The sequence below is a fragment of the Homo sapiens genome, chromosome 21 (assembly GCF_000001405.40).
Source record: "Homo sapiens chromosome 21, GRCh38.p14 Primary Assembly".
Taxonomy (NCBI): Eukaryota; Metazoa; Chordata; class Mammalia; order Primates; family Hominidae; genus Homo; species Homo sapiens.
This window is the reverse complement of record NC_000021.9, coordinates 19,276,431-19,285,448: the sequence shown is the minus strand read 5'-3', so window position 1 is coordinate 19,285,448 and position 9,018 is coordinate 19,276,431. Positions and strand designations below refer to the sequence as shown.

At 34.2% G+C, this 9,018-nt stretch overlaps 1 long non-coding RNA gene across 1 annotated transcript; it reads left to right on the top strand.

The window, feature by feature from the left end:
* Positions 1-736: 736 nt before the first annotated feature.
* On the top strand, positions 737-8,810 carry LOC124905048 (uncharacterized). Its single transcript, XR_007067917.1, has 2 exons — positions 737-863; positions 8,031-8,810. It is a non-coding gene; the product is annotated as an uncharacterized LOC124905048 (long non-coding RNA).
* The last annotated feature ends 208 nt before the right edge of the window (positions 8,811-9,018 follow it).

Below are 9,018 nucleotides of genomic sequence, written 5' to 3'. Positions count from 1 at the left end.
AAGACCACCACTATATTGTTGCATAGAAGCATTGATTTTGTTCCTGTTTTAAGAATTATTCTAATGTTCCAACATTTAGAATTAGATTATTGTAGAATTTGGTGTATACATTTCATCCATTCCAGAATTTGATCTCTATTTATGGTTTGACAATAATTTTTATTAAAACTGGTTGAATTGTATCAAATGCTTTCTCTGCCTGGGCTCAGGAGTTCGAGACCAGTCTGGGCAACACGGTGAAACCTCGTTTCTACTAAAATACAAAAGAAATTAGCCGGGCGTGGCGGCTGGCGTGTGCCTGTATTCCAGGTGCTCTGGAGGCTGAGGCAGGAGAATTGCTTGAACCCGGGAGGCGGAGGTTGCAGTGAGCCAAGATCGCACCACTGCACTCCAGCCTTGTGACAGAGCGAGACTCCATCAAGGAAGGAAGGAAGGCAGGCAGGGAGGGAGGGAGGACTTTTTAATAATTTCTCATAATTTGAGAAATATTCTGGTTATGAAACTAAAATTGTTCAGTCAGAAATTGAGAAGCATCTGAGATGTTACCCATTTGATATATATCCTCTGAATCAGGTTGGATCTTTATAATTCTCAACAATAAGAGCAGCCAACACTGCACAGAGTAATACTAAGAACCAAATGGTTACACCTGTATATACAATGCAGTGACATCACAAGGAGTGGAACTCTGAAATTATTAATCTCAGAGTTTATATAGGTATGGAAATATCTGCCCCCTTCCCCTCTGAAAAAAGAGGGAGCAATTATTTTTACTATGGAATGTAAGCAAATCGTTTCTTAGGGATTGGGAGACTTGTCTCTATCCCAGGACATGAGCATCTGGCAACAGAAGAGATGAGAAGGTAGCATTACTCTTTGAATGAGATCAGTATTGGCTCTATCATAAAATATTAGCTCCAAGTTTAATGCCTGCAAAATATAAAGAGCAAATGTTTCAGGCAGAAAGGATATGTTCTGCCTTTATAGAATGCTGATTTTGTTGCTTAGAATGTTAGGACCTTGTGGGAACATTAGAAAAATATAGATAGATAGGTAGGTGGATAGATAGATCAATGATAGATAGATAGATCCAGGAAGAATCATCTTCTAATAGAAATCCTGCCTCCTAAAGGCAGAAAGTAGAACGTAATTTGGGCCAAGGCAGGGACATGCAACTTAAACTCTGCCATCAGAGGCATCCAGATGGTATTTTATCTGGGAACAAAAAAATTAGATGCTACTCATAATCGATTCCTGGCATAGCAGGTAGAGCTTTGCAGTGGGACATCCGACTTTTAGAGGCTCTTTACAGGTACAAAGCTCCTATTGTTAGTGGTCCACACTCAATATTTCACTGTACACTGGGATCACAGCAGCAGGCAGTCTTATCATTAAATCCAATTTTCTAACTTGGTTGCAGACTCTGTAATCTCACTATACTTTAAAAGATTAACGGTTTGAGTACAAAGTTTCAGCTGTATACATCATCAGGTTGTAAATTTTGTTTCCTAAATAATCTATTTTTTTCTCATTTTGTTTACCAAATATATAAATGACTGACCAACTGTGTTTAAATATCCAAGAAATGTAGTAGCTTAGCCAATTACATTAATATGTAAATTAATATTTGACAATTATATTTTAAAAATATCTTTGAGATCTTATTATTAGGTTCCTTATTATTTGGAATATGTTCTTGACAAATTGTTGTTCCAGTGCAGAAATCTTTATCATTTAAAATTTTTGAAGTACTTCTAATTGTGTCTGACAGTTATTAATATTCACCAGCTTTCTTTTGACTTATGTTTACCTTTTTCATTACTGTCATAAAAACTTGCTGTGCCATATATATATGTGTGTGTGTGTGTGTGTGTGTGTATGTGTGTACATATAAATATGTGTGTGTGTATATATATACTTTTTCTTTTTTGGGGGGTATGGAGTCTTGCTCTGTTGCCCAGGCTGGAGTGCAGTGGCATAATCTCGGCTCACTGAAACTTCCACCTCCTCGGTTCAAGCGATTCTCGTACCTCAGCCTTCCAAGTAGCAGGGATTACAAACATCTACCATGACTCCTGGCTAGGTTTTGTGTTTTTGGTAGAGACAGGGTTTCACCATGTCAGCCAGGCTGGTCTCGAACTCCTGACCTCAGGCGATCTGCCCACCTTGGCCTCCCAAAGTGTTGGGATTACAGGCATGAGCCACCACGCCTGGCCCCTATTCATTTTTTATTCCATGATCTTCATGATCTTGTCGAGAATCTATCTTTCTGTCTATGTATCATCTTTTTATAATTATGTCTTTTACTTCTGGTGAATTTTAAGAGACCTTTTTTTCTTCAGTGTTCCGCAGTTTTACCAAGTATCTCAATGTGCTTTCAGTATAGAAGAATATGACTGTTTCGTGTTGTTATGCTTGGAATTGTGCTTTTTTAAAAATAAGCCAAATCTCCTTACGAAGTTGGGAATATCCTAAATAGTTAACTTTTGAAATATTGCCTCATAACTCTATGCTTGTTTTCTTTCCCTTTTAGAGATCTACGTGAACAAATGATAGTGCATAGGTTTATGGCTTCCATATTTGTCAACCTTTGCTTCACTTTTTAATTTTTTTCTGAATTTTTTTCCATATCTAGCTTACAGTTCAATAACTTTTTTATCTTTAAGATTTTAATGTTTTTATTTTTAAGCCATGCTTGTACTTGGTCGTATTTTAAATATCTTCTTTAATAATTATGCTTATTTAAATAAATTTATATATATATAATTTTGTTATATGAATGTTTTGGATATAATTGTGCTATTTATATTTCTTCTTATTCTTATAGTTAATTGGTAATCCAATGTCTTTCAATGTGTTTATGTTATACGGCTTTGTTCATGGGAATGTTTTGAACCTGTATTTTGGGTGTTTACACCAAAGAGGTTTTGCTTCTATTGCTCTCAGATGCTTCAGGCTATGTACCATGTTACCATAAATGTCTAGGCTGGAGTTACCCTGTCTTTGAAGGCAATGTAAATTTGAACACTGGGTTATGATAGACCAAAGTTCATTAATTATCAGAGAGCCTTACTGTTGTTGTTATTATTAAGTCATTTTCAATCAAGTTTGAAGGAGACGTATTTCTTTTTTTTTTTTTTTTTTTTTTTTTTGACGGAGTCTCACTCTGTCGCCCAGGCTGGAGTGCAGTGGCGCGATCTCGGCTCACTGCAAGCTCCGCATCCCGGATTCAAGCCATTCTCTTGCCTCAGCCTCCCAAGTAGCTGGGACTACAGGTGCCCGCCACCACGCCCGGCTAATTTTTTGTATTTTTAGTAGAGACGGGGTTTCACCGTGTTAGCCAGGATGGTTTCGATCTCCTGACCTCGTGATCCGCCCGCCTCGGCCTCCCAAAGTGCTGGGATTACAGGCGTGAGCCACCGCGCCCGGCGGAAGGAGACGTATTTCTTTATTTTTTATACTTGCTGGTGGATGGACTCATTCTGGCTCCTCATTCCTGTGTGCAGTTTAGTACTGTGTTTATCCAGGATTCTTATTTATAGTCCATCATCTTGCAAAATCCAGAGTCTTATTTCCTGTGACATAGATGCTAATACATAAGCTGCTTTGTTCCTACTGTGTCCACGGTAGGTAAAACGTCATCATCTGCATACCATTCTGTTTTTCAGGTTTCTTTTTCTTTTAAGTTCTTGAGTAATATCCCCTTTATTTTTGCAGACTAGGTTTATATATGGATAGATAGCAATAGTCAAATTTTGTTATTTGCAGTATTTATGTTCTATAAAGTTGTGGCAAACAAGAAATTAGCAAATATTAAATCATTGCTTGCAAAGGAAATACGGGGTTAGTTTGTTGTGAGCCTCTGGTCACAACATTTTCATCAGCTAATCAATATGTAATCTTGTTTGATGTGTGCTTCTGTTTTGAGACACCTTACTTAAGATATATTGCTGATTTATTAACATTGAACTCTCATCAGCCAACAGCACTAAAACGCATGCCTGAACAAACCTTACCTAACACACATAACATCAAACCTTTGCAGGTCCCACATCTGTGAATTCAACCTATTGTGTATTGAAAATATTAGGGTAAAAACAACAATACAACAAGAAAAATAATACAATTAAAAATATGGTATAACAACTACTTATATAGCATTTGCACTGTATTACTTATTGTAAGTAACCTGCAGATTATTTGAAGTATATAGGAGGATTTGCATACCTAGTATGCAAATACTGTGCCATTTTATATAAGAAACTTGAGCATCCCCAGATATGGGTATTCCCAGGATTTCTGGAACCAATCTCCTGCATCAAATGAAGTTGACTATATTTTTCTCTGTAAGACACATCATAGCCTTCTTGTGCTTGGGAACAATAGACAGAGCTTTAGCAATATTCTGGGGTGTGGGAGGCATTTTAAACAGCCATATCACCAACAAAGAGCACCAAATAGACTGTGAAAAAGATCCTTGTTTATAGCATGAAAAATGAAATAACAAAGTAGAGTATTACTTTGTTTAACCTCAACTGGGGGCATGCACATTGAGAAAATCAAATTTTTTTATTCTGTGCATGTTAAAAAAAAAGACCGGGAAAGTATGAGTGAGTATGGATTTTTGAGATAACACATAAATTTAATACATCTTGGAGAAGTTGCAAATATGGAATTCACAAATAATGGAATTTGATGTAGACATATAGATGTAGGTATGTATTATACTGGTATTTCATATTAGCAATAATGAATGCCACAGTGTCAGAAATAATTAAACATGTGTTTTGTATTTTCAATAACATATATCCAGTCCCGATAAAGACATTATAACCCTCATATATTGTTGTTAGAGTAAGTTGGTGTAATTTTCTGGAAAGTGATTTGGCAACATATGTTAACAACTTTTAAAGATTTATAAAAATTAATTTAGTAATTATCCTCCTGGTAAGCCAATCTTACCAAATTCCAAGTAATGAAAATAAAATTTATATACAGCTGACCCTTGAACAACACAGATTTGAACTTCAAGGGTCCAGTTATCCATGAATTTTCTTCAGCTTCTGCCACCCCAGCTACAGCAAAACCAACCCTTCCTCTATCCCTTTCTCCTACTTAGCTCACTCAGTGTGAAGCTATGACCAACAAGGATGATGACCTTTATGATGATCCACTTCAAGTTAATGAAGAGTAAATGTATTTTCTCCTTCTTATGATTTTCTTAATAACATTTTCTTTTCTCTAGTTTACTTTATTTATGAATGCAGTATATAATGCATATAACATACAAAGTATGTATTAACTGTTAATATTATCGGTAGGGCTTCTGGTCAACAGTTGACTACTACTAGTTAAGTGTTTGGAGAGTTAAAATGTATACACGGATTTTCAACTGTGTTAGGTTAAGCCTCCCTAAGCTTTGCATTGTTCAAGGGTCAATTGTATGTACGTCATTACTGTAGCATTAAAATTACTCTATGAAGTTTGGGAAGAAATAAAGTGTCCATCTGCAAGATAATGCTTACATAAATCATATTTATTCATGTAAACATTATTGAGTAGGTATCATAGATTCTTTGACAGTAGTTTACATTTATTAGTATGGGAAGCTTTTTCTGATATAAAGTTAGGACATAAAGTAACATGAGTATAATATTATATAGTGATCTCAGCTATGTAAATACTTTATAGGAACTAAATAAAATATTTGTAATAATTGCATACAGGAGTATGTTTTCTGTACTATTTTTAATTTGTTTTTACCATAAGTACTTCTTTACTAATTAGACAAAATTAATGGATAAAATGGAGTATAGAGTTGCTACCCAGATAATAATGTTTAGATATTTTTTAAAGTCCTTGTTGATAATGATAGTTTTTGTGATAATAGATATTGAGGTATGTGCTCAATGATATCAATCAGTGTGAAATAAAAACACTTGTGAGATTGATGTGGGAAATAAATGTAGAAAGAATTACACATGGGGAATATTTTCTCTGCCGTTTTGTCTCATTTATACTATAACTGCAAAATCTCAGAGTACCTTCAGGGACACACAATGTGTTGAAGTTGTACAATGTATTTTTAAATGAATTCTTATTTACACAAATAAAAGCATGTTCAACAAAGGGGCCTAAGCATTATTAATAAGTTATTCAGAAAACAATTGCAGATCATCTTTGAGTTGACATAGTTGAATAAATATATATCAATTGTCTTTAATTTTTTTATAGTTTTCATGTTAAACAGACAATATTCACAAACCTGTTGTGAGAAAATCTGCTATTACTTTAATGATCTAAACAAGACTTCACAAGAAGAAAGGAATTAGTTGTTTACAGATTTTAAAAGTATTTACTATGTATGTTACTTTATGCTTTAATAAGTTATGGTTTGTTAAGAGGTCTTAAACAAAGTAGATGGCCAATAAATATTTTATTTCTGTGAATATCCTGCCAGGTACAAACATAGTTCTCTCTATTAAAATTGATTCCCTAAGGAAATCACTCTGCCTGCAGACATAAAATTAATTAATGCTTAATTTCACTTTTATGGCAATGTTTGCTATTAAAGTGTAAAAACTAATTGCCAAAAATTATGAAGAAAGACATTTTTAAGAATTGACAAAAGAAGTGAAGGAAAAGTAAAATATGTATCAAAAAGTCAATTAACATAGAATTTAAAAATTAAAATGTTTTTAAAGAATATGTTAGTTTTTCCTTGAATATTTCCAATAAGTTCTATTATATCTTTATATATTTAATAGCTTTAAGTCCTACAATGCTGTCAGATATTTAAAAATTATAGGTTAAAAACAATAGCATATTTTTTGAAATAAAATAGGTTTGTAACAAAAAATAATTTTGAAAACAGCAAATTTACTTGAAAGACATAAAACTGAAATTTTATTCTTTTGAAGTTCTTTAAATTTATATTTTGCATTTAAAATGTTTTTTTCTTCATCTTATTTTTCTAGTTAACAATACATTAAAATTACCTAATGAAAAGTAAATACCCATGAGTCAAAAAAAAAAACAGGCAAAGTCATTTCTAGATCATTCATAGATCAATTCAAAACAGTGATATAGGTATATCAAAATTAATTAAAAATTAGTAAGTAATATTATAAGTATTCAAAATTAAAAATAATATGAGTAATTCAAAATTAGTGAACAGAGATGACAGTTTTATAAATTAATTTGAAAAGATTGTTGATGTTGGTAAAAGAAACAATAATTTTTATTATTTCCAAACATACTCAATGTTTAGTCTGAATGCTTCCCTGCCTTTTTGATGAATTATATCTTTCTTGTAAAACTACTACCCTTTTTCATTAGGACATAGTTAACTGCAAAATTTCCTTATTTGTCATTCTCTGTTTTAAAAAATATTAGTGTCTAATAAGAAATAAATCACCCCAAATTTATATCTACATCTAAATATATGGAGCTTATTTTTTTGAATATGGCTATTTTTTCCTTGGGTGCTATTTTCTGAATTTAAGTGACCTTGCACCAGAGATACTAAAAAGTTATTATCAAGATTTTCCAGAGACATTGGCCATTTTACCCATCTGTGTGTGACTTTGACATTGCCAATTATATCTTGGCTGGAAAATATCATTATAGTTGAACAAATACCATTAACAGAAAATGTTCAAATTATTCAGACCGTATTTATGAACAACACATTTTGACTTAAGCTTTCCAAACCTTTGCCACTATTTCTTGTGGTTCCAATTTATTTCCCTTTTCACATCGTTATATTAGGAGATGGAGAATATTTAAATATGTTTCTATCCACACATCCTGGCTCATGACTCTCAAAGCTCTCATTAGTCTTTTCTTATAATGTTGGGGCACTTTGGGCCCCAGAAGCAGGCCTCAGAAAACAGAATTTCTCTTTCTGACTTTCTCCAGTCCTCCTTTTACCTGCTCCTTTTTCTCCAAAGGGTAGAAATCTTCCCCTACCTTTGTACCTTGGAGCTGGCCATACAAAAATTTCTCTAACCTACCTTGTTTGATCATAGGTCATATGAGCTGCATTTCAGAGGCGGTCCTGTGCCATACCATGGAGAAAGGAATGCTGCACAGAGGCCAAGATGAAATCTCCACCGACAGACCTTGCTGGATTTTCCCACTCAGTCTGTGACTATTAGATTATACCCCTTTGTCCAATTGCATTTGTACACAGTTGTTCATGCTTCAGTCATGCCTATTCAATGAAATTTCCATAGAAGGCCCAAGAGGAAAGAGTTTGAAGAGCTTCCAGAAAACGGAACATGTGGAGGTTCCTGGAAGATAGCAAGGCCGGAGAGAACATTGAAGCTTTGTGAGCCTTCCCTCATACCTTTCCCTATGCATCTCTTCATCTGCACCCTTTGGAATATCTTTTGTAATAAACCCGTTTCCTGGAGTTCAGTAAGCTGCTCTAACAAGTTTATCAAACCCAAGGAGGGGGTTGTGGGAATACCAATTTACAGGCGGTTGGTTAGAAGCACAAGTTAAACAACCTGGGGCTTGTGATTGACATTGGAAGTGGGGGCAGTCTTGTGCGACTGGGCCTGTGGAATCTGATGCTATCCCCAGAGAAATAGTCAGAAGACAAATGGAGGACAGCAAGCTGGTGTTGGCTGAATAATTGATTGCTTGCTTGCTGGTAGGGAGAGATCCCTACACATCTTGTCATATAAGTCTTATGTTGATTGCTGTGATGTGAGAGCAGAGGAAAAACAGCTGGAGTTGTTTTTTTTTTTCCTAACCGTAGTATAAAATGTATTCAAAATACAATAAAAATATTGCTGAATTAATATAGTCTTTTCAATGATATGTTTTGTTTGACTTGTCATATCATTTATGCCACAGCACAAATTTTCTGTCATCACACTAAAGCTCTTAACATGGTTTTAAAACTCCTGGGGTTATAAAAAATGTAAGCTCAGTTAACTTTTTATTTCATTGCTGATGTTATTAATAATGCCAGATTAATTTTGCTGTCCACAACATTGAGCAATGGTG